A 24,667-nucleotide genomic window follows, 5' to 3' on the forward strand; every position below is an offset into this window, starting at 1 on the left:
TTTACTGTCCTTGCTTTTTTCTCTCTGCAGATATCCTAAAACTTTTTTTCTAAGCCAAGGAGCACTAGAAAGCTTTTGGAGGTGATGAATATGTTTATTACCTTGATTGTGGTGATGGTATCACAGGTGCATGCATATGTCCAAATTCATCAAATTGTGCACATTAAATATTTGCAGTTTTTTATATATCAATTTCACCTTAATAAAGTTGTAAAAAAGATCTGAATATGGAAGGAAACATTTTCCTTCCTGTGCCAGTGAGTAGGGGTTATATTTTTATATATTGTCATTTCCAAATCTGCCTCCTGAGCTGCAATGCTCCTGAGGGTGCTGTCCTCATCCTCAGGCTCTGATGGTGTACTCTGCCCATCACCACACATAACACCTTGGGTCCAGAGACCTAGCAGTTATTACTACCTGTGGGATGGCCAGGGATGTCCTCGGGTAGGGGAGAGATGTGGGGAGGATGAATGGGGGGGGATAAAATTATACCCACATTCAGATGGGGAATTGAGGCTTAGCAAGACGAAGTCATGTATGTGTCCAGAGCATACAGCTTTGAAGCCAGGTAAGGATTCCATGCTAAATTATGCTAAAAGGAGTAGGGTCAGCTTGACAAGTTCAAGCTGAATGTGTCCAACTGCTTTCCTTGCAAATTTACTGTGATTCTGTAGAAAACATTGTTTTTTCAAATTATGGGCTGCAATTCATTACTGAGTGATTAAATCAATCCAATGATAAGTTTTAGGAGAATACAATAGAAAACAACAGATCGCATTGGCACCATTCTTTAAAGTATTGCCCCTGAAAGTTGTTTGTTATTCACATACACACGTGTTTGATTGAGGTGTGCACCACATCTCTGGCGACAGATAGCAGTCAACAGAGTCTGAAATCACTGTGAGGAGAATTAGGCTTTAAATATTTGTGAAGTTAAGAGAATTTTTAAAATGTTACCTTTGTGGGTAACTTGTGATGTCCAATGAGCCAGCCCTTAAAAATTTCCCTCTGTTCCTTTGTCCTAAGAGCATGAGGTGAAAGAGGCTGCTTTATTTACTCTATCTTGGAAGGCATTAATGCCAGCCTGCTCTGGCAACCAGATCTGCTCCAGCCCTCCAACACACAGGCCTGAGGATTCCTCTAGTATACCTGAATCTTTCCTAAGGAATTGGCAATATTAGAAACAGGAGTCATCCTTACCAAACATCCCATCCCAAAGACCTCCCATATCCTGATCCTCAATGTACCAAGAAATGCTTCCATCTTTCCAACGGCCAACCACACCTTCCCTCTTCCCTCCACACCCAAGGAATCCTGTATCCACTATCTCATTTCATCCCTCCCTAATCTCAGCCTGCTTCACACGGGACAGTCCATTTTAGCTGGAGAAGAGAATATAATATGACGCCTTTTTAAGGGTAGTAAGTAAAGCAGAGTGATTGAGAAAGAAAAGAAAATTCACAGTGTGCAAGGAACTGGACATTTGCATGATATCTACAGCACTGTTTCTTAGACCTTAATGTGCATGCAGATCATTTGGGGATCATGTTAAATGCAGATTCTGACTCAGTAGGCCTGGGCCTGACATTCCATATTTCTAGGTTCCCTGGTGATGCTGATGCTGCTGGTTCACAGAGCACACTTTAAGTAGCAAGCGTCTGTTTGCACAGGGGCTGGCACAGAGTGGGCACTCAAACATATTTACTTAATTGAATTAAATTGTAGAGGAATTTGGGCTTTATGCCAGGACTCATCAGCAAGAAGAAGTGTGCTAAGGTAAAGCAATCAGCTAAACCACCAGCTCATAATCCCAGAATCACAAAAATTCACCCAGGGAGTCATTTAAAAATTCCAGTGCTTAGGACCCCGTCTTCAGAGATGCTGATTTAATTAGCCTGGGGTGAAGACTGGACAACCAACATGTTAAAAATATTTCTAAGTGATCCCAATATGCAGCCAGGTTAGGGAAACACTGAATTCAGTGAAACTGTGTCGTTGCCTTCTATGTGTCAGGCATCGAACTCTGAGCAAGGCACTGAAAGTACAGAGCTGACTGAGACCAGGTTTCTGCCCTCAGCAAACTAATAGGGGAAATAGGTCCACACGTGACTCCAAAGCAAAAAAGCGCTACAGTATACTTATGAAAACTGTTTTGGGAATACAGATGAGGAAGGAACTGATTCAGCCTGAAGGAAGTGGGAGGAAAAAAGGCCAGTGACCAAGAGTGAAGACATTTGGATTTTAAAGGATGGCTGGGGGTTGCCAGGCAGATATGTTCTGTTCTTCCAAATCTCTGTTCTTCCCCATTATTGGCCAGGTAAATAATGCTTGACCAGGACTCAGGCTCCCAAATTCTGTACTAGCTGCCTCCTGCTGCCACAGGTTTATGACAAAGATCTGTCCACAGGGAATAAGGTCAATCCAATGAATATCCTTTTTTACCAGCTGGGGATATTTGTAAGGCCATGTACACGCTGTTAGTGTGCTGTCTGAGTCAGAGTGCAGTCAGGAAAACAGCCCACATCAGATATTCGATACAGTGAAATTAATGGGGAACTAATTATTTGATAGAGTTGCTGAAAATCCAAACAAAGAATCATAAAGCAACACAGATATTAGCAAATGCAGCATGCCCAAAAGCTCAAGGGATGCAAGGAGGTGATGGGATTAATAAAACCCAGGGGTCAGAGATGTCTGACAGGAGCTGGAATCACAACAGAGACTGCAGAGAGGGAGCTGGACTGACCAAGGAGATGGAGCCATTTCCAATAACACGAGAATGACACCCAAGGGGGAGGCCAGAGGGAGACAGCTGCCTTTCCCTTCCTTCTGCTCCACAGTCTCCCATTAATGCATCCCATTGGCTAAATCCAGCCAGAAGACAGTTGACAAAGAAGCCTAGGTGATATAGTTTTCAGGAGTTGGCCTCTGAAGGGTAGGGAGTGAATCTGGGTGTTTGTAAGCTTAACTCATGTATTCTAGATATCTGGCTGAAGGCTTACACCAAAAGTGGACTGAGTAATTTCCTTGTCCCTCTCCCCTACACCTAAAACTTTATCTTGGCCCAGAGTAGAACTTATCATCTGGTGTACTGGAGACACTTGGGTCAGAATCCCCAAGCAGGGCACCTCAAGCTACAAGTGGATTTTTTCATTTACCCTAGGATGCTAGACAAATATATATGATCTGTGTGCCACGGAGTAAACACATTTCAGAAGCAATACTATAAGAACAGGCAAAGAAAGAGGGATTAGAGGAAACTCACATCTAGGAAGCTTCTCCTTGAGCAGAGTGAGCGTCAACCGCCCAAAGTGAGGAGTTCCAAGATGAGGCAGTTCCAGACTCAACCAATAGTACTAGCAAAAAGAAAAGCAATCAAAGAAGACAGCCACTATCGAAGGAGAGAAATGTGATTAAAATCCATTTTCTTCACATAATCCTGATGAAGGATGACTTAAAATAAAACCAAAAGTTTCCAAGCATCAGGTTTTGATATAAATAACAGGGCTCTGTAGAATGTTCTGTATCATAAACAATTGTTTCTTTCAGTTCCTATTGTCAGGCCTCTGAGCCCAAGCTAAGCCATTATATCCCCTGTGACCTGCACGTACACATCCAGATCTCCGGTTCCTGCCTTAACTGATGACATTCCACCACAAAAGAAGTGAAAATGGCCTGTTCCTGCCTTACCTGATGACATTGTCTTGTGAAATTCCTTCTCCTGGCTCATCCTGGCTCAAAAGCTCCCCCACTGAGTACCTTGTGACCCCCACTCTGCCTGCCAGAGAACAACCCCCCTTTGACTGTAATTTTCCTTTACCTACCCAAATCCTATAAAACGGCCCCACCCCTATCTCCCTTCGCTGTCTCTCTTTTGGGACTCAGCCCGCCTGCACCCAGGTGAAATAAACAGCCATGTTGCTCACACAAAGCCTGTATGGTGGTCTCTTCACACGGACGCGCATGAAACCTATACCCACAGAAACAAAGTGTGACACACACATGGGGAAAAAAACAGGCAATGGAAACTGCCTAGGAGAGGGCCCAGATTGAATTGAACAGACAAAGACTTTAAGTCTATCATTACAAATGTGTTCAAAGAACTAAAGCAAACCAGGCTTAAAGAAGTAAAAAAAGGATTATGACAATGTTTCATCAAGCGGACAATATCAATAAAGAGACTTTATTTTAAAAAAATTAAAATTCTGGCATTAAAAAGTACAGTAATTGACATGAAAAAAATCACTAAAAGGGCTCAACTATAGATGTGAATTGGCAGAAGAAAAGAACAGCATAATTGAAGATAGGTCAATAGAGAGTATGAAATCCAAAACAGAGAATAAAGAATGAAGAAAAAGAAACACAATCTTTAAGAAATGTGGAACACCATTAAACATATCAACATACACTTAATTGGAGTAACAGAAGGAGAGGAGAGAAAGGAGCAGAAAAATTCTACCCATCCAAGATCAACCAACTCTAAGTAGAATAAATGCAAAGAGATCCCCATGTACAAATGCATCACAGTAAAAATGCTGAAAATGAAAGACAAAAGGAAAATTTTGAAAGTGGCAAGAGAAAATGACTTGTCACATACAAAGAAACCCTAATAAGAATGACATCTGATTTCTTATAATAAATTATGGAGGACAGGAGGCTATGGGATAGCATATTCAAAGTGCCCCCCCACCAAACAGCCAAGACTCATATCCAGAAAAACTATCTTTCAAAAATAAAGGTGAAATAGCCAGATGCAGTGGCTCACATCTGTAATCCCAGCACTTTGGGAGGCTGAGGTAGGTGGATCATCTGAGGTCAGGAGTTCTAGACCAGCCTGGCCAACACAGTGAAACCCCATCTCTACAAAAAATACAAAAAATTAGCCGGACATGGTGGTGCATGTCTATAATCTCAGCTACTCAGGAAGCTGAGGCAGGAGAATCGCTTGGGCCCAGGAGACAGAGATTGCAGTGAGCCAAGATTGCACCACTGCATTCCAGCCTGGGTGACAGAGTGAGACTCCATCTCAAAAAAAAAAATTAAAAATTAAAAACAAAGGTGAAATAAAAACATTCCCAGATAAATAAAAAGTCAGATAATTCATTGCTGGCAGAACTTTTTCCTACAAGAAATACTAAAGCAGTTTTTTCATGCTAGAAGCATAAAAACACCAGACAGCATTTAATAATAGAAATAAATTGGAAAATTCACCAATACATAAAAATTTAAAAACATGCTCTGAAAAAACCAATATGTCACTGAAAAAAACCACAAAGGAAATTATTAATAGAAAATATTACACATGAATAAAAATGAATACACACCATAGAAAAACATGAGACTCAGTTAATGCAGCAGTTAGAGAGAAACTTATATATGCCTACTTTAAGAGAAGAAAATAAATATTTCAAATCAACAACCTAACACTCCACCTTAAGACAGTGAAAAAAAAGAGCAAAAACCCAAAACAAGCAGAAGGAAGGAAATAAGGACTATAGCAGAAATTAATGAAATACATAATAGAAAGATAATAACAATTATCAATGAAACAAAAAGTTGCTTCTTTGAAATGATCAATAAAATTGACAAATGTTTGGCTAGACTGATTAAGAAAAGAGGACTAAGACTCATATTACTAAAATCAGGAATAAAATAGGGTATATTACTACCCACCTTAGAGAAATAAAAAGGAATATAAGGAAATACTATGAATAGATGTATACCAACAAATTAGATGACCTAAATGAAATGGACATGTTTCTAGAATGATACCGGCTACCAAAACTGACTCAAGAATAAGCAGAAAACCTGAATACATCTATAATAAGTAAAAACATTGAAACAGTAATTTAAACACTATCTACAAAGAAAAACCCAGGCATAGATGACTTTACTGGTGAATTATACCAACATTTAAAGATGAATTAATACCATTTCCCAACAAATTCTTCCAAAAATGGAAGAGGAGGGAACACATCTCAATACATTCTATGAGGCTTGTGTTATCCTAATACTGAAACTGAACAAGTACGTACAAGAAAATAAATCTGCATACTAATATCTCTTGTGCATATAAATGTAAAATTCTTCAACATAATACTAGCAAATTAAATCTAGCAATATATATGTTTTGGGTTTTCTGGAATTTTGGGGTTTGTTTTTTCAGACATGGTCTCACTCTGTTGTGCAGGCTGGGGTGCAGTGGCACAATCATAGCTCACTGTAGCTTCAAACTCTTGGGTCCAATTGATGCTTCCATCTCAGCCTCCTGAGTAGCTGGGGCTACAGGTGTGTGCCACCACACTCAGCTAATTTTTTTTGTAAAAATTTGTGTAGAGACGGAGGTCTTGCTTTGTTGCCCAGGCTGATCTCACACTCCTGGCCTTAAGTGATCCTCCTACCACAGCCTCCTAAAGTGCTGGGATTGCAGGCATTAGTCACTATGCCCAGCCCACATCCAGTAATATATAGAAAGGATTATAACCATAACCAAGTGGGATTTATCCTAAGAACATAATGTTGATTTTATATCAGAAAATAAATTAATATGATACATCTTATCAATAGAATTAAGGAAATAAACCGCATTATTATCTCAAAATAATTTTACAAAATTAAACTCTTGATGATAAAAACACTCAAAAACTAGGAATAGAAGGGAACTTCCTTAACCTCATAAAAGGCATCTATGAAAAACCTACAGCTAACATTACACTTAATGGTGAAAAGTTGAAGGCTTTTGTGCTAAGATTGGACATAAGAAAAGGATGACCACTCCCACCACTTTATTCAACATTGTATTGGAGGTTCTAGCAAGCACAATTAGGAAAAACTAAATAAATAAAAGGTATCTAGATTTCAAAGAAAGAAAGAAGTCTCTAGCTGCAGATGCCATGATCTCATATACAGACAACTCTAAATATCCAGTAAAAAGCTTTGAGAACTACCAAATGGGTTTAGCAATGTTGTAGGATACAAGACCAATATACAAAAATCTACTGTGTGTTCATACAGTAGGAATGAACAAACAAAAAAGAAAATTAAGAAAACAGTTTTGGCCCAGTGCAGTGGCTTGTACCTGTAATCCCAGCACTTTAGGAGGCTGAGGCAAGTGGATCACCTGAGGTCAGGAGTTTGAGATTAGCCTGGCCAACATGATGAAACCCCATCTCTACTAAAAATACAAAAATTAGCTAGGCATGGCGGTGCACACCTGTAATCACAGCTACTTGGGAGGCTTAGGCAGGAGAATTGCTTGAACTTGGGAGGCAGAGGTTGCAATGAGCGGAGATGTGCCACTGCACTCTAGCCTGGGTGATGGAGTGAGACTCTGTCTCAGAAAAAAACAAAAACAAAAACAAATACAAAAACAAAAAACAAAGAAAACAATTTCATTTGCAATGCCTCAAAATGAGTAAAATGGGGCAGGACGCAGTGGCTCATGCCTATAACCCCAACACTTTGGGAGGCCAAGGCTGGCAGATCACTAGAGGTCATGAGTTCAAGACCAGCCTGGCCAACATCGTGAAACCTCATCTCTACTGAAAAAAACAAAAACAAAAACAAAACAAAAATTAGCCGGGTGTGGTGGTGGGTGCCTGCAATCCCAGCTACTCAGGAGGCTGATGCAGGAGAATTGCTTGAACCCGGGAGGCAGAGGTTGCAGTGAACAGAGATCACACCACTGCACCCCAGCCTGAGCAACAGAGGGAGACTCCGTTTCAAAAAATAATAATAATGATACAATGGGAATAAAGTTAACAAAAAAATGCAAAAGCTATACTCTGAAAATTATAAAACATTGTTGAAAGAAATTTTAAAAGACATAAGTAAATGGAAAGACATCTATGTTTATGGATTAGAAGACCTAGTATTTTTAAGATGACAATATTCCCTGGACTTATTTAGACTCAACACATTTCCTAACAAAATTCTACCTGGCTTCTTTGCAGAAATTATTAAGCTGATGCTAAATTTCATTTGGAAATTCTAGGGACCCAGAAGAACCAAAGCAATCTTGAAAAATAACAAAGTGAGAGGATTCACACTTCCTGATTTCAAATTTTACTACAAAGCTAGTAATCAAGATAGTGTGATACTAGAATAAGAAAAAATGTACAGATCATTGGAATACAATTGGGAATTTAGAAATAAGTCCTCATATTTACAGTCAGTTGATTTTTGGCAAGAGTGTCACTGGAATTCAATGGAAGAAAGAATAGTCTGTTAAACAAACAATGCTGGAACAGCTGGCTATCTAGAAGACAAGTATGAAGTTGTACTCTTACCTCACACCATATTCAAAAATTAGCTCAAAATAGATCATATATCTCATGTAACTATAAAATTCTTAGAAGAAAACATTGGCATATATCTTTTTGACCTTCGAATAGGCAGTGGCTTTTTAGATATGACACAAAAAGCACAACCAACAAAATAAAAAATAGACAATTTAGACACTATTAAATTAAAAACTTTTGTTTTTCAAAAGATGCATCAAAAAATTACAAAGCACCCCAGAGAATGGGAGAAAAATTTGTAAATCATATATCTGAGAAGGGATTTGTATCCAGAATATCTAAAGAACACATAACTCAATAATACAAATAATACAATTTAAAAACAGGCAAAAAATCTGAATAGCTATTTCTCAAAAAAAGAGATATACAAATACCCCAAATTCATATAAGATGCTCAATTATTATTTTCTGCGTTGAATTGTCTTGGCATCCCCATCAAAAATCAACTGACTATAAAAGTGAGGGCTTATTTCCGGACCCTCAATTCTATTCCACTGATCGTCATTTCTATTCTTACATCAGTGACATACTGTCTTGACTACTGTAGATTTGAAACTGGGAAGCGTAAGTCCTCTAACTTTATTCTTTTTCAAGATTGTTTTGGTTATTCTGGGTCTCTTGCATTTCCATATAAATTTTAGATCAGCTTGCCAATTTCTACAAAGAAACCAGCTGGGATTTTAATACGGATTGCTTTGAATTTTAGATCAAGTTGGGGGAAATATTGCCATCTTAAAATATATAGTCTTCTGGCTGGGCACAGTGGCTCACACCTGTAATCGAGCACTTTGGGAGGTTGAGGTGGGCAGATCACTTGAGGTCAGGAGTTTGAGGTCAGCCTGGCCAACATGGTGAAACCCTGTCTGTACCAAAAATACAAAAATTAAGTGTGGTGGTGCATGCCTGTAGTTCCAGCTACTCGGGAGGCTGAAGCAGGAGAATTGCTTGAACCTGGAAAGTGGAGGTTGCAGTGAGCCAGGATCATGCTGCTGCATTCCAGCCTGGGCGACAGAGCAAGAGACCATCTCAAATAAATAAACAAAATAAAATAAAATAAAATATATAGTCTTCCGATTCTTTGACACAAATGTGTTTCTATTCACTTGGGTTTTCTTTAATTTCTTTCAACAGTGTACAAGTTTTTGGATTTTCAGTGTACAAATTTTGGATTTATTTCTTTTCTTAATATATTCCTAAGTATTTTATTGTTTTTGATGCTATTCTAAACGGAGTTTTCTTAATTTCATGTTCAGATTGTTGCCTGCTAATTTATAGAAATATTTCTATAAACTAGAAATGACGATCTTGAATCCTGCATCCTTACTGAACTGGTTTGTTAGTTCCAGTGTTTTCTTTTTGGTGAATTCCTTAAGATTTTCTATATACAAGATTATGGATATAGAAATGCACCTGTGTACAAGTAGCTTGTATACATGAATCTATACACAAGATTGTGTCATCTATTAATAAATATATTTTAATATCTTCCTTTTAAGTTTAGATGCCTGTATTTTATTTTCTTTGCCTACTTGCCCTAGCTAGAACTGCCAGCACAATGCTGCATGGAGTGGCAAAAGTAGGTATCCTTATGTTGTTACTGGTCTTAGTGGTAAAACAATCAGACTTTCTTCAGTTAAGTATAATATTAGCTGTAGGATTTGTCAGTGTTTTTTTGTAAAATATTCTTTGTTAGTTTCTTAGTCTGTTCTTGGTTTCTTGAATATTGGATGTTGAATTTTGTCAAATGATTTTTCGGCATCTAGTGATATAATTGTTTTTATCTTTTATTTTATTAATAAGGCATATTACATTAATTGATTGTCATTAATTGATTAATTTTCCAATGTTAAACTAACCTGTATTCCAGGGATAGTTCCACTTGGTCATGGTGTATAATCATTTTCATGTGTTACTAGATTCAATTTGCTAGTAGTTTTGGAGGATTTTCAGGTCTACATTAATAAGAAATGTTACTCTGTGGTTTTCTTTTTATTGTGATATCTATCGTTTTGGTATCGGGCTTATACAGGCCTCATAAGTAAGTTTGGAAATGTTCTCTCCTCTTTTAATTTCTGTAAGAGTTTGTAAGGATTCTTATATATTTGTTAAAATTCACTAGTGAAGATGTCTGTAGCTGAGTTTTTGTTTATGGGACGTTCTGAAGCTACTAATTCAATTATTTTTGTCTTGTTATAAGTCTACTCATATTTTCTGTTTCTTCATGAGCTGGTTTTGTTAATTTATTTTTGTTTCCAGGAATTTCTCCATTTCCTCCAAGTTATGTAGTTTGTTGGCATACAGTTATTTAGAGTTTTCTTTATAACCGTTGTTATTCTATGTAAGGTCAGTAGTGAAGTCTCCTCTCTCAGTCCTAATTTTAGTAATTTGAATCTTCTCTCTCCTTTTTTGTTGGTCAGACTAGCTAAAGATTCATCAAAATTGTTGATATTTTCAAAGAATCAACAACTGCTTTTGTTGATTTTCTCTATTTTTCTATTCTGTATTTCATTCATTTCCATTCAAATGTTTATTATATCATTCTTATATTTGCTTTGGATTTAATTTGTTTTGTTTTGTCTTCCTTCCTTCCTTCCTTTTTTCCCTTCCTTCCTTCTTTCCTTCCTCCCTCCCTCCTTCCCTCTCTCTTTCTTTCTTTCTTTTTTTTTTTTTTGTCAGAGTCTTGCTCTGTTGCCCAGGCCTGAGTGCAGTGGTGCAATCACAGCTCACTGCAGCCTCGACCTCCCAGGCTCAAGCAATTCTCCCACCTCAGCCTAACTAGAAGCTGGGACTACAGGGTTGCACTACTACACCCAGCTAACTTTTCTGTATTGTTCTGTGGAGAAGGGGTTTCACCATGCTGCCCAAGCTGGTCTGGAACTCCTGGGCTTCAGCGATCCAACCACCTCTGCCTCCCAAAGTGCTGGGATTATACCATGTTTGGCCTATTTTCCTATTTCTTAGGGGGTACAGTTAGGTTATTGATTTTAGATCTTTGTTTATTTATTTATTTTTAAAGGTAGGGTCTTGCTTTGTCACCCGGGCTGGAGTGCAGTGGCACCATCATAGCTTACTGCAGCCTGAAACTCCTAGGCTCAAGCCATACTTCCGCCTCAGCCTGTGGAGTATCTGGTATTACAGGCAGGAGGCACCACATCCGGCTTTTCCTTTTTTATTATAATACAGTTTTTCCCAACTATAAATTGTTCTCTAAACACTGCTTTATCTGCTTCCAGAGGTTTTGCTATTGATAGATGCAGGGGGAGGATAAGAGGGAGGGTCCCCAGAGAACTTCCCGCTGGCCTGTGCACTGGGAGAACCGGGTGGAGCCGGGGGAATTTTGGGCCGTTTGCAGCCAGGAGAAGCCTGGACTCTTCAGTTTCTGTGTGGTGGCCTGGGATTCAATCTGTGAGGTGGTGGGCCTGTTAGCAGGACTCCATCTCACTTTGCTGAGTTTTTTTTTTTTTTCTTTTTTTCCCCTTTTTGCCCAATAAAATCCTGCTCTACTCACCCTTCCATGTGTCCGCGTGCCTAAATTTTTCTGGTCGTGTGACAAGAATCCAGTTTTAGTTGAACTAAGGAGCAAAGTTCTGCAACATTTTGGCGCCCAGACGTGGGGCTTGAGGAGGGGTAAGATGTGAACCAAAAATTCTTTTTCCCTTTCACTTCTAAGCCTTTTTGTCCTCAGACTTCTTCTGAGGTAGAGGAAGCTGTGCAGGAGCCCACCCCAATGGCTGCAGGCTCGAGGGATGAATGGGCAAACGGGGACTCCCCTGCCTTGCTCCCGGCCAGGGCTAGGAACCCGTTTGTATAAGAATAAGAGGTTCTTCCCCCAGGCATCTTTCCAACTCTGCACTTTAAACTTTTTTTTTCCTTTTCTCTACACTGTCAGCAGTACACTTTTAAGTGAGAGGGGTTTTTTTTTTGTTTTTTTCTTCCTTTTCGAAGATGTTTTACTAGGCCAGGAATGAGAAGGATCACTGTTTATAGTCTCTGCAAAGTTTTGATTATGAAAAAGGATTTGTGAGGTTGGTCTTAAGGTGTAGCCAATCTGGTGTGCTTTGCACGCCTATGTGAATTGTCTGTAGCAAACTTTGCTGAAGGCTTCCATCTTGCTTTATGCCCTTGGAAGCTGGCCTGTAACCACGTGGCAATGCTTTGTTTAGCCTCTGCCATTTTACAGTGTAGCCGGGGTTCAATCCTGGCTTAGAGACTCAGTACTTTAAGGTTGATACCTGTGTGACTTTTGCCATTTGCTGACTCTCTTCTTCTCCATGAACAACGTCTAGGCTTTTTCTTAAATCTTCCTTTCTCTGGGTCATCTTTAAAGGTTCTAAATTTTGTGAGAACTGCTTACCCCGTTTGAAAATACCTCATATACTCACGGTTAAATCATAGTCTTAATTGAGGCTTGTTGGTTTCACCTGCAAGGTTACTTTCAGTAAGATTTGAAAGCCAGAAATATTGGCCACTTGGCAGGGCTAAAGTCAGGTAATAAGGGAGTTAAAGGGATTTTCTTAAAGAGTGCTCAGCTTAATTAAAAGTGGATATCCTAGTTATAGGTATATTTAAAAGGCCTTTATGTTTTTCTTTTCTTGGATCTTGTTTTGCTGGAAACGGGTTTTTTCTCAGTTGACTAAATTCTTTTTCTCCATTTTCTCTTGCTACTCTCATTATATATGCATCGTGTGTGTAATGTCTATAAAAAGACCTCTAATTAATTGGCCTAAAGGAAGATCAGTGCTTTGCCGAGACCAGCTCGGTCGGGGAGACCCTAACCCAGCAGCGCTAGAAGAATTAAAGACACACACAAAGAAATATAGAGGTGTGAAGTGGGAAATCAGGGGTCTCACAGCCTTCAGAGCTGAGAGCCCCGAACAAAGATTTACCCACATATTTATTAACAGCAAACCAGTCATTAGCATTGTTTCTATAGATATTAAATTAACTAAAAGTATCCCTTATGGGAAACGAAGGGATGGGCCAAATTAAAGGAATAGGTTGGGCTAGCTAACTGCAGCAGGAGCATGTCCTTAAGGCACAGATCACTCGTGCTATTGTTTGTCACTTAAGAATGCCTTTAAGCTGTTTTCCACCCTGGGCGGGCCAGGTGTTCCTTGCACTCATTCCCATAAACTCACGATCTTCCAGCATGGGCTTTATGGCCATCATGAACATGTCACAGTGCTGCAGAGATTTTGTTTATGGACAGTTTTGGGGCCAGTTTATGGCCAGATTTTGGGGGGCTTGTTCCCAACAGTGCTTGGATCAAATATTTTTTAAAGGGAAAATAAAAGCTGTGGTACCTTTTAGTTCACATGACTTTAATCTTTGAGAAATAAAAACAGCCTTAAAAATTATTGGTGAAATGCAGATGTCCTCAAAATGTAAATAGGTGAACTAAATTATGCAGGTCAGATACTAAGTTTGCTAAATGTTTTAAGGTTATAAACTGCCTTTTTGGTTTTTGAGAACTGTTTGACTTGCCTGCTTCACAATTGGTAAGGCCTGGGAACATATGGAATTAACCATGCCCTTAATTATGCTGGAAGCAGTCAAACCTTGGCTGCACCCAGCACATAATTAAATTACTAGGTTTTGCATTAAAGTTAAAAATCGCTAAGAATGACCATTATAACATGAAATTGAAAGTACTGGAAATAGATTTACATGTGAGGTGCATAAGAACAGTAAGATGTGTTTTTAGTAAAAGATTGTACAAAAGCATGGAAATGTAAATCCTTGCCTAGGGTTAAAGGATGATTTTTGAATTAGATAAGATAAAGCTGAAGGTTTAAACAAATAATGGAAGGATTGTAAAAATTAATCTTGCAAAAATTCCATGTGTGAATATATTGACTAAATTCAAAAGGGTATTATATGATTTTTCTGTAAATTGAGCATTGAAATAAAAGCACAGCAAGGTACTCTTAAGGCACTAATATTCTCTTTAGCAAAATTTGTTAGGGTTATAAAAGGTTTTTGTTTTTTAAACTTCTGAGTCATCATTTTGGCAAAATAAGTAACATGGTAATCTGGAATTCTATTTCATAACATCAAGTGTTTTAAACTTCTAACATATTTTAACAGACTTCCTAAAATCAAACTTCAGTTTCAAAATTGTCTTTCCTGATGCCTGACATTTGGATGCTACAGAGGGCCCCTGGAGTATCCAAAAGAGAGGTAAACAGGATTATTTGACATATTTAGTTACATGGGATTGCCAAAATGGTGTTCAATCTTCTTTAGGTTATATTTTGGTGAATAATACTAATATATATTCCAAAGTTGTATGGGATTTCTAAAATTCTAATATCTAAAGTATATGCTAAATCATAATTAAGGTGGTTATGTTATTTTAAACCACAGACATTACCAAACATTTTTGCCAATTGTGTTTCTGACTGTAACTACCCTGGACATTTTGTTATTCACAATTGTTGTCTTGTTTTGATCCTTTTCAAAGTATGGACTATATTAAGCTATAGGACTCTGACAGGTGCTTTCAAATACAGGTTTCTCATAACCTTGGAGACTGTGACATTGGAATAAAGGAAAAACATATAGGATTCATTTAGAGCTGAAATGTTCACCAATATCAAGCAAAGCAAGAGCTACTGGATGGACTGAACTAATAGAAAATTGAAGAAATCTTTTTGACTGTGCTTGGAACATGCTAATCCTTATTTTGTTTTTCAGAGCCAAGGAAGCTTATTTTGAGCTATTTATGGTCTTTAATAATTGAGAAAGCTATACTCCTGTGAACAAAATTTGGAGCATGTTTGTTTCTCTCTGCCTGGTTCCTCTAGAATTTGGAAACTATCTGTGAGTATTCTTGGCTTATGGCAATATAGTTGTTTGCATGAGTGCAGTAAGAATCCATTTTCTTTTGCAACAGGTTGCAATTGAAGAAACTGGTTGTTTTACCAAGGCTTAGACTAGAAAGGTATGCTTCCCTTTAAGGAGTTGTATTAGTCTGTTTTAATGCTGCTGATAAGGACATACCTGAGACTAGGCAATTTACAAAAGAAAGAGATTTAATTGGACTTAACAGTTCCATATGGCTGGGGAAGCCTCAAAATCACAGTGGAAGGCAAGGAGGAGCAAGTCCTTTCTTACATGGATGGCAGCAGTCAAAGAGAGAATGAGGAAGATGTAAAAGTGGAAACCCCTGATAAAACCATCAAATCTCGTGAGACTCATTCATTACCACAGAATAGTATGGGGGAACCACCCCCATGATTCAGTGATCTCCCAGCAAGTCCCTCCCACAACACATGGGAATTATGGGAGTACAATTCAAGATGAGAATTGGGGGACACAGAGCCAAATCATATCAGAAGTCAAGCTTGACTTGCAGAGCCAATAAAAGCCCCTTGGGAAAACTGGCCTCGTACTTTTGTCTACACAGTCCCCCTAGAGGGTTCCTAACCTGTGATGAGTAAAAAATGTCACTCTCCAACAGGCTCAGGAACCACATGCTCTTGGGACCTCAAGAGAAGAGGAGTTTACCCAACTCACAAGTATTTGAGGATACAAACCCATGGCTGGGCTCAGCTTTAAAAGGTCTTATCTGAGATTTCTTGTGGAACAGAGTTCCATCAAAGCCAATCTAAAAGGCCTATGTATAAATAATCATTTTTGTTGCACTTTATGCAAATAATCAGGCAAAGTATAAGACTAAATTCTATTGTGCAAACAACACAGTCTTATCATGATTTGTTTTTAATAGAAATGATGACTAGGGAGAGAGAAATTATAATTTATTTCAAAACTTATCATCATTAGATTCTAGACTTGTTAGTTGGTTTTAAGTTTTTGTCTACATTTTAGACTAACCCTGCTTGTTCCTGTGAACCAACCAGCAATCTCTGGCTGCAGCTCAGAAAGAACAATAGGGATGTTATATAAAAATCTGGATCAATATTCTAGTTCTGAGCAATTATCCTGCAAATCCTGCCAGGTGATGGCAATAAATAGGATGCCCATCACCTGGAGGTTTCCTTTTTGGGAAAGTAAGACCAAGGGAGCTAACCAAAGCCAAGTCCCATGCACTCAAATCTTAGCAAGCATAACTATAGCCACCAGTTATCTGGGTGTGTCACAAGACATCCTTTTCTTTCCCTTGTTGGAGGAGGACTCAATTCCACAGCTTAACCTTAGCATTGAGCTTATGATAAGGAGTCCATACAATCGCCCCAAGACACATTTTTGTCCCAAACTCACTTCCAAGCTTCGGGTCAAAGCCGTAGGAAAGAAAACAGGATCCCAGGATTCCAGAGGCAGTTCATAATGGAAGTTAAAAGGCACAGTGCAGGTGAGCATGACTAATTCCTGCCCATTAAGCCAAGCTTCTTGTTTCATGGATAAAGGTCATGCTAGAATCCATGGCATAAATGAAGTCTAGGGAATTCAAGGGCTACTGACAGCAGGGGAGATAGGGATATTCCCACCCCCAACCCCCAACTCCCACTAACATGGATGAAAGCCATTTTGACACCCATGCATGGCACTCTGTGGCAGTTGCTGGGACTCAGGGATACAAGGATGGAGGAAAGAAAAAGGAACACCTAACTTTTCCTCCCTCACATACACAAGGGATTTGCTAGGAAGAGAAAGGAACCAGGGTCACCTGCTACCCTCTTTCTGGATGAGTAGCCATTCCTCTGCAGTGCTTCCTGAACCCCTGAGACTTCTCTGAAAAAATGCCTCCTTTTTCCTCCTTTGTCCTGTTCACTGATAGTTAATTGTATCTCTGTACTATGGGACGCTCCCTTCAGATGCATCCTCCAAACTGGGAAGAGTTAATTTCCCAAACCTTAGACTGGTTGGCTTAGGATTGGGCTCAGGGGAAGGGAACCCAGAAGTCTAATATGGGGCAAAAGAGTATAAGTTTTTTTAGCAGTCAGACTTTTGGTGTCTCCTCCCTGCGCAAACTGGTAAAAGGCCTCAGGATTTTTGAGCTGCCCTTACCCCCGCTGTTGCAGGAAGTCAAGGACCCCGAATGGAGGGACCGGCTGAAGCCATGGCAGAAGAACATAAATTGTGAAGATTTCATGGACATTTATCACTTTCCCAATCAATACTCTTGTGATTTCCTATGCCTGTCTTTACTTTAATCTCTGAATCCCGTCATCTTCATAAGCTGATGATGAATGTCGCCTCAAGACCCTGTGATGATTGCGTTAACTGCACAAATTATTTGTAGAGCATGTGTGTTTAAAAAATATGAAATCTGGGCACCTTGAAAAAAGAACAGGATAACAGTGATGTTCAGGGAACAAGGGAGATAATCTTAAAGTCTGGCTGCCTGTGGGCTGGGCAGGACAGAGCCATATTTCTCTTATTACTGAAAATGGGTAAGAGAAATATCGCTGAATTCTTTCCCCAGTAAGGAATATTAATAATTAACAGCCCTGGGAAAAGAATGCATTCCCAGGGCGGGGCCTCTACAATGGCTGCCCTAGGAGTGTCTGCCTTATGCAGATGCAGATAGGGATGAAACACACCCTAGTCTCCTGCAGCATGCCCAGGCTTGCTAGGATTAGGAAATTCCAGCCTGGCAAATTCCAGTCAGACCGGTTTTCTGCTCTTGAACCCTGAAAATGCATGCACAGTGGGACATGGAAGTTCATTAGTGATTCTAGTTTCACCCTGACCTTCTGCCTTGTGATCTTTTGTCACCCTTGAAGCATGTGATCTCTGTGACCCACACCCTATTCGTACACACCCTCCCTTTTGAAAATTGCTAATAAAAACTTGCTGGTTTTACGGCTCAGGGGGCATCACGGAACCTGCCAACATGTGATGTCTCCCCCGGACACCCAGCTTTAAAATTTCTCTCTTTTGTACTCTTTCCCTTTATTTCTCAGACCGGCCGACACTTATGGAAAATAGAAAAGGACCCTCGTTGAATTATCGGAGGCAGATTCCCCCAATACCCACCCTTATTTCATTTTGATACACATTTTCTTTCTTTTCTTCTTCTTTTTAATTTTTTTTCTGAGACAGAAGCTTGTTCTGTTGCCCAGGCTGGAGTGCAGCGGTGTGATCTCGGCTCACTGCAACCTCTGCCTCCTGGGTTCAAGAGATTCTCCTGCCTCAGCCTCCTGAGTAGCTGGGATTATAAGCACCCACCACCATACCTGGCTAATTTTTGTATTTTTAGTAGAGACAGGGTTTCACCATGTTGGCCAGGCTGGTCTTGAACTCCTGGCCTCAAGTGATCCGCCCACTTTGGCCTCCCAAAGTGCTGAGATTACAGGCATGAGCCACCGCACCTGGCTGATATATGTTTTCTAATAACCCAGTTTGTCTTTTCTTGCCTTCAGGCCGTGAAACTCCAAACGGTCATGCAACTGGAGCCTTGGACCACAGCCCCTTCTGCCAGGGACCCTTAGATAGGCCTCTGAGGGAGCTCTGACTGCCGTTTTCCTCAAACAGTGCCTCCTGTCAGCATGAAGCAGTTAAGATCGGCCTTTGTCCTGATCCTTATTCTTATTCTAACAGCAGTTAGATGTACTTCTTTAGAGGGGGAAATGATAGATGCAGGAGGCAGATAAGGGGGAAGGTCCCCAGAGAACCTCCCATGGGCCTGCACACTGGGAGAACAGGGTGGAGCCAGGGAAAGTTTGTGCCGTTTGCAGTGGGGAGGAGCCTGGCCTCTCCTTTCCTGTGTAGTGGCCTGGGATTCAATCTGTGAGTCCTGTTAGCAGGACTGCGTCTTGCTTTGCTGAGTTTTTTTTTTTTTTCCTTTTTTGCCCAATAATATCCTGCTCTACTCACCCTTCAGTGTGTCGTCTGTGTGCCTAAATTTTCCTGGTCTTGTGACAAGAACCAGAGTTTAGGGGAACTAAGGAGCAATGCTCTGCAACAGTATGTTGAGTTTTCACATTAATTTTTCTCAAAATATTTTCTAATTTCCCTTCTGAGTTCTTCTTTGACCCTTTGGTTACCGAGAACTGTGTTGTTTAATTTCCATTTACTTGTAAATTTCCCAAATTTCCTTCTGTTGTTGATTTCTGTTTTAATTCCATTGTGCTCAGAGAACATAATTTGTATGACTTCAATTCTTTTTTATTTATTTAGGCTTTTAAAAGTCCTACCATATAATCTATCCTAGAGGATATTTCATGTACAGTTGAACATGAGGTATGTTCTGTTATTGTTGGGTGGAATATTCTACAACTTTGTTAAATCTAGTTGGCTTATGGTATTGTTAATGTTTTATATATCCTTTTAGATTTACTTCATTATTTTATCCATTACTTAAAGTGGAGTACTGCAATAATCAATTACTACTATTACAATGTTCACTTCTCACTTCAATTCTGTTTTTGCTACATGTATTCTCGGGTTCTATTGTGGATGTATATATGTCTATAATTACTATCTCTTCCTCATAGTTTAAACTTGTTACAATTATAAAATGTCTCTGTTTGTCAGTAGTATTTTTGTTTTGTTTTAAGTTTGTTTTGTATTATATTAGTATAACTTCTTCAGTATTCTGTTGGTTATTGTTTCTGTGGTATACCTTTGTTCATCATTTTACCTTAAACCTATTTATACCTTAAAATTTACATTCATCTCTGTACACAATGTGCAGTTGGATCATATTTTTTAAAAGTCCATTCAGACAATCTCTGCTTTTTGATTGGAGTATTTAATACATTTTTACTGATCCATTGATTGATTGAGACAGAGTCTTGCTCTGTCACTCAGGCTGGAGTACTGTGGTGCAATGATAGTTCACTGTAGCCTAAAATTCCTGGGCTCAAGTGATCCTCCCATCTCAGCCTCCTAAATAGTTGAAACTACAAGTGTGAGCCACCGTGCCTGGCTAATATTTTAAAAAATTTTTCTAGAAATGGGGTCTCACTATGTTGCTTAGGCTGGACTTGAATGCATGACCTCAAACAGTTCTCCCACCTCAGCCTCCCAAAGTGCTGGGATTGCAGGCATGAACCACACACTCAGCCACATTTACATTTAATATAACTTGAGATAAAGTAGTACTGATGTCTGTCATTTGCTGTGTATTTTCTATATATCTTATATCCTGTGTGTTCCTCTATTACTCATTACTGTCTTCTTTTGTGGTAAATAGGCATTTTCTAGTATGCTATTTTAATTTCCTGGTTTTATTTAAATATGTATACATAAAGTCATTTTCTTAGTATTTGTTCTGGAGGTTACAGTTAGCTTCTCAATTTAAAACAATTGAGTTTTTAGAACTTAATTTCAATGACATACACAAACTGTGCTCCAGTTAAGCTCTCTTTACTCCCCCACTTCTTTGTGCTATTATTGTCATACAAATTCTATCTTTTTACATTATGAGCCCATCAACACAGACTTATGCTTACTTTTTATGCAGTTGTCTTTTAAATCAGTGAGAAGAAAGGCATTACACACTGACTTTAAATTTGCCTTAGTTGTTTTTCTTTGTATGAATTTGAGTTACTCTCTAATGACATTTTATTTCAGCCTAAAGGACTCCTTTAGTGCTTCTTAGTGGGTGGATCTGCTAGTAATGAATTCACTCAGTTTCTGTTTGTCTGAGGTAGTCTTAATTTCTCTTTCATTTTCAAGGACAGTTTTGCTGAATATAGAATTCTAGGTCTGCTCTTCCTTCCGTTCCTTTTATTACTTTGAATGTGTCATCTTACTGCCTTCTGGTCTCTATGGTTTCTGGTGAGAAAACAGTTGTTAATTTTATTGAGGATTCTTTGTACATGAGGAGTTGCTTGTTTCTTGCTGCTTTCAAGAGTCTCTCCATCTTTGGTTTTAGATAGTTTGATTATGATGTATCTCAGTATGCTTCTCTTTGAGTTCATTTTAGTTGACAGTTTGATTATGATGTATCTCAGTATGCTTCTCTTTGAGTTCATTTTAGTTGGAGTTTGTTGAAATTTTTGGATTATAGATTAATTTTTAAATCAAATTTGGAAAGGTTTTAGTGAATATTTTTTTCTGCACTTTTATCTCCCTCCTCTCCTTCTGGTACTCCCAATTGGTACTAGATATATCTTAGCATACTTGATGGCGTCTACTGATCTCTTAGGCTCTGTTCATCTTTCTTCATTGATTTTTCCTATATGTTCCTCAGACTAGGCAGTATCCATGGACTTATCCTCAATTTTGCTAATTCTTCTGCCACTCAATCCTGCTATTGTCCCCCTATAATGGATTTTTCATTTCAGTTATTATACCTTTCAATTACAGAGTTTCTTTATATATAGTTATATAATTCCTATATCTTTAACTACACTCTCTTTTTGGTGAGATATTGTTCTCATACTTTCCTTTAATTTTTGACACATGGTTTCCATCAGTTCTTTGAACACATTTATAATAGCTAATTTTAGGTCTTCGTCTAGTAAGTCTACAATTTATGCATTTTTAATGACAGTCTGTTGACTGCCTTCCAGCCTGTGTCCTTTTCTGCCTGTTTATGTGTCTTACAACTTTTTGCTAAAATATAGACACTAAAAATAATGTAATGTGGCAACTCTGAAAACCATGTTTCCCTTTCCCCCAGGGTTTGCTGTTGTTACTGTTTTTATTTCTTTGATGCCTTTCTTGGACTAATTTTGTAAAGTCTGTATTCTTTGTCATCTGTAGTCACTGATACGTCACTGTAGCCATTTGTAGTCCTTACTCAGTTAGCTTAATTGTTCACTAATGATGAGAGAAATGCTCTATCATTCCTCAAATGCTAGAATCAAAGATTTTTTTTTCCTTTGTTTATGGTGGGACTATGTGTGCATATTAATGCATGCCTTCAATTTTCAGGCAGACAATTCACAGCTTTGCCTCAGCCTTCACATCCTGCTTGCTCAAAGCCTCACAGTTAGCCAGAAGTAAAACCTGGGCATTCTCAGATTTCCAGAAATATGTTAATCTTTTTTTTTTTTCTGTTAGATGAGATCTTGCTATGTTGCCCATAGCATAGTTGAGATCTTGCTATGTTGTCCAGTGGCTATTCACAGGTGCAATCATAACACACTACAGCCTCAAACTCCTGGGCTCGAGTGATCCTTCCACCTCAGCCTCCTGAGTAGCTGGGACCATAGGCATGTGCCACCAGGCAGCTTATGTTAAATCTTTTTAATGCCCCCTCCCCATGGACATCTCATTCTTCATTTTTCTTTTTCAAGTTTTTCAGTCAGCCTATTGTTAGCTGTAACTGGTGTCACTACCTGAGGCTGCTGTAATATTAAACAATTGTTACTGATTGTTTTCAACAATGCCCTGTGGAGAGGACCATTTGCACAGGGCAAGCTCTGAGTTATGCCAATTAAAGACAAACCCTGGGAATGTAGCTTTTCCAGGAAGCTGCCAGACAAGTAAATAGTGCCAAGACTCTGGGGATGGGGCTCTTTCAGGTGCTCCACATCCTTTTTGTCCCTCCAGTGGCTGCTAGACTGCTCTTATGGTTGCAGGGCTGTTGGTTTTCAAGGTTACACATACTCTTTCTTCTTCTTCTTCTTTTTTTTTTTTTTTGAGACAGGGTCTCACTTTGTTGCCCAGGCTCACTGCAACCCCTGCCTCCTGGGTTCAAGTGATTCTTGTGCCTTAACCTCCTGAGTAGCTGGGATTACAAGCATGCACCACTATGCCAGGCTAATTTTTATATTTCAAGTAGAGACAGGGTTTCATCATGTTGGCCAGGCTGGTCTCAAACTCCTGACCTCAAGTGATCCTCCCGCCTCAGCCTCCCCAAATGCTGAGATTACAGGTGGAGCCACCGTGCTCAGCCTCAAGGTTACACATATTCTATGTAGTCGTCCCTCAGTATCCATGGGAGATTGGTTCCAGGACCTCTGGTGGATATGAAAATCCATGGATGCTCATGTCCCTTATATAAAATGGGGTAGTTTTTTTCATATAACCTATGCACATCCTCCTGTATACTTTCAATCATCTCTAGATTACTTATAATACTTAATACAATGTAAATGTTATGTAAATCATTGTTATACTCTATTGTTTAAGGAATAATGACAAGAAAAAAAAGTCCATACAAGTTCAGTACAGATGCGATTTTTTTTTCCAGACATTTTTGATCTGTGATTTGGTTGAATCCATGGATGTGGAAACCATAGATTTGGATAGCTGACTGTATCCCTACAAAAATATCCTGTTAAATGGCCTGAAGATAAATTCTCATGTAGGATGGTTCTAGTCCTAAAGATAACACTGTTCACCTCTTAATTATTGTATGTAGATAATCTGAATCAGCTTGCAGCAGGTCGAGCCACAGACAAAACTCCTTGACACTGAGTTAAAGAAGGAAGGGGTTTATTCAGTCGGCAGCACCGGCAAGACTCCTGTCTCAAGAGCCAAGCTCCCTGAGTGAGCAATTCCTGTCCCTTTTAAGGGCTCACAACTCTAAGGGGGTCCGTGTGAGAGGGTCATGATCAATCGAGCAAGTAGGGGTACATGACTGGGGGCTGCATGCACGGGTAATCAGAATGGAACAGGACAGGACAGGGATTTTTACAATGCTTTTCCATACAATATCTGGAATCTATAGATAACATAACTGGTTAGGTCAGGGGTCAATCTTTAACTAGCAGGCCTAGGGCGCGGCGCTGGGCTGTCTGCCTGTGGATTTCATTTCTGCCTTTCAGTTTTTACTTCTTCTTTCTTTGGAGGCAGAAATTGGGCATAAGACAATATGAGGGGTGGTCCCCTCCCTTAAGCTTACTTATTGTATATAGATCATTTAAGTCAGTATGTTCATCAGAATCCCTTGGAGGGCTTGTTAAAATACAGGTCACTTGGCCCCACTTCTAGAGTTTCTGATTCAGCAGATCTGGGATGGGGTCTGGGAATTTGCATTTCTAGCAAGTTCTGGGAGGATGTTGATGTGACTGGTTAGGGACCCCATGTTGAGAACTTCTGAAGGACTGAGATACTTTACCACCAGCATACTTAGCTATCACATCGTGATGCTTAGGGAAGATATAGCATGATATTGTAAACCAAAAGGTGTCTGAGACAGATCTGTCAATTTAGAGGTTTATTTTGCCAAGGTTGAGGATGCAACTGGGAAAATGAGGCACAAACTACAGTAGGATCAGTAGGATCTGTGGCCTATGCTTTTTCCCAAGAGGGTTTTGGGGACTTCAATACTTAAAGAGGAAAAAGTGGGCAGGAGGGGAAAGAAGAACAGTGAATTATGCATTTTTACATAAGGTAAGTAAACAGAGAGTAGAGGAAGAGGTCAAATATGCATTTGTCTTGGGGTGGGTGGAAGGATGATTCCTCCGCTTGTCTTTGTCCCATTCCTGTGACGATAAGCTGTTAATTTACATTGTCAGGGTGAGGGAGGCCACCTGGGGAGATATGTGGCCTTCTATCTT

The 24,667-nt window shown here is 39.3% G+C and overlaps 5 annotated features.

The window, feature by feature from the left end:
• Positions 17,320-18,519: an enhancer, noted in NCBI's record as "P300/CBP strongly-dependent group 1 enhancer chr2:99051832-99053031 (GRCh37/hg19 assembly coordinates)". NCBI's record gives its function as "activates an origin of replication core promoter dependent on BRD2, BRD4, P300/CBP, MED14 and CDK7 cofactors, with strong dependence on P300/CBP, by STARR-seq in HCT116 cells {active_cell/tissue: HCT116}" and the evidence as "EXISTENCE:reporter gene assay evidence [ECO:0000049][PMID:35650434]".
• Positions 17,320-19,049: a biological region, named in NCBI's record as "P300/CBP strongly-dependent group 1 enhancer GRCh37_chr2:99051832-99053031".
• Positions 17,561-18,305: an enhancer, noted in NCBI's record as "OCT4-NANOG-H3K27ac hESC enhancer chr2:99052073-99052817 (GRCh37/hg19 assembly coordinates)". NCBI's record gives its function as "activates a minimal SCP1, AML or CMV promoter by ChIP-STARR-seq in primed H9 embryonic stem cells {active_cell/tissue: H9 hESC(primed)}" and the evidence as "EXISTENCE:reporter gene assay evidence [ECO:0000049][PMID:30033119]".
• Positions 18,306-19,049: an enhancer, noted in NCBI's record as "NANOG-H3K27ac hESC enhancer chr2:99052818-99053561 (GRCh37/hg19 assembly coordinates)". NCBI's record gives its function as "activates a minimal SCP1, AML or CMV promoter by ChIP-STARR-seq in primed H9 embryonic stem cells {active_cell/tissue: H9 hESC(primed)}" and the evidence as "EXISTENCE:reporter gene assay evidence [ECO:0000049][PMID:30033119]".
• Positions 20,712-20,761: an enhancer, noted in NCBI's record as "active region_16258". NCBI's record gives its function as "activates an Ori minimal core promoter by ATAC-STARR-seq in GM12878 lymphoblastoid cells {active_cell/tissue: GM12878}" and the evidence as "EXISTENCE:reporter gene assay evidence [ECO:0000049][PMID:35858748]".

The sequence above is a fragment of the Homo sapiens genome, chromosome 2 (assembly GCF_000001405.40).
Source record: "Homo sapiens chromosome 2, GRCh38.p14 Primary Assembly".
Lineage (NCBI taxonomy): Eukaryota > Metazoa > Chordata > Mammalia > Primates > Hominidae > Homo > Homo sapiens.